The sequence below is a fragment of the Homo sapiens genome, chromosome 14, assembly GCF_000001405.40.
Source record: "Homo sapiens chromosome 14, GRCh38.p14 Primary Assembly".
Classification (NCBI taxonomy): Eukaryota; Metazoa; Chordata; class Mammalia; order Primates; family Hominidae; genus Homo; species Homo sapiens.
This window is the reverse complement of record NC_000014.9, coordinates 97,305,891-97,307,254: the sequence shown is the minus strand read 5'-3', so window position 1 is coordinate 97,307,254 and position 1,364 is coordinate 97,305,891. Positions and strand designations below refer to the sequence as shown.

At 40.5% G+C, this 1,364-nt stretch overlaps 1 annotated feature.

Annotated features, from left to right (window-relative positions):
* Positions 682–751: an enhancer, noted in NCBI's record as "active region_8994". NCBI's record gives its function as "activates an Ori minimal core promoter by ATAC-STARR-seq in GM12878 lymphoblastoid cells {active_cell/tissue: GM12878}" and the evidence as "EXISTENCE:reporter gene assay evidence [ECO:0000049][PMID:35858748]".

Genomic DNA, 1,364 nt, shown 5'->3' with positions numbered 1-1,364 from the left:
CGAGGATGAAGCATGAAGAAGGCAGGCAGGGCCTGTTCTTCCAGCGCTTTCTCTCTAGTGGGTTTGCAAGTGGCATCAGCTTCTCTTCCAAGTGCTGCTGACACCTGTCCTCATGAATGTCTTCACTTTCTCATCTCAAATGATTCACTAGATGAGAAAAACAAGCTTTTATCTCACGTGGGTATGAGGAAGGGAGCAGTTCCTCCAGAAAGTCGTGAGAGACTCAGCAAGTCACAATTAAGAAGCGTTGGAAGCTCATTCATTTTGCAAAATAAAAAATCAGTACTGAACTCTGTTGACTTCTCTAAACCTCAGAGAATGAGCCATGGTTACATTCTAGATTCAAAACAATTTCAAGCTCTTTTGTATGAACAGATGACTCATCTAATACCAGAAAGGAAAGGCTAGGTTTATTTCCCAGAATAAAGCATGCAATCTACATTAAGGGCCAGGATTTCATTTGCTGTTGTTTCAAATATACAATTATTAAACATTACTTATAACTTATTAAAGTAGTTCTATCTACGGCATCAGAACCCACACTATAGCTGTTCCAGGCCTTAGGCTTCCACGTAAAGAATCATCTGAACTCTCCAAGATGCAGACCAGGTGTTCAGAGCATGCATGCTGAATAACGAAAGAAAGAATGGTTGACAGTTTCTGAACCCCCTCAGCTGGAAGACAGCAAGCCAGATATCCTCACAACAGATGGGTTTGGGCCAGCAACCCAAAACATATTTGTCAGAATACTTACTCCCCAAGGTGATAAAACAGAATTCTTGAGAAACTCTGAGCTAAGGGAAGTAAAATGGGATTCTCTGCTACAGGACTTATCAGAGGCTTTACTAGACTAACATGCACTGGAGTCCCCCAAAGGGGAACTCTGTGATGTGGTATCCAAATTCACCCAGCCTGGGAAGCTTTTTGCTCATGAAACATAAACTGGGCACTGCTGACTCAGAGCATCCATCCACACCAGCCTGTGTGCTTCTCAGACATCCCAGCATCCCCAGGTCTTCAAGAGTTTAGACAATACCAGAACCCCCTAACCAGCATGTCTATTAAACCCAACTACAATTAAAGGCAACTTGCAATAAAACCTAAAAAACAAAGACTTTCTCTAAAAAAAAAAAAACCTTCTGGATTGTCAAATGTCCTTCAGTAACCTCCACCATGGAACATACATTTTCTAAGCATGCCCCTAAATACACACATAAGGGCTTTGGTTATTTGAAAATAATGTTAAGATATATTTGTGCTTGCAATTGTGAGGTATATTTTTCCCTCCCTTTTTATATGGCAGATTTGGTTAAGGTATACCTATTCTTGTTTTTTAGTGGGTTTGAGTTTTCTATTTTCAAAAA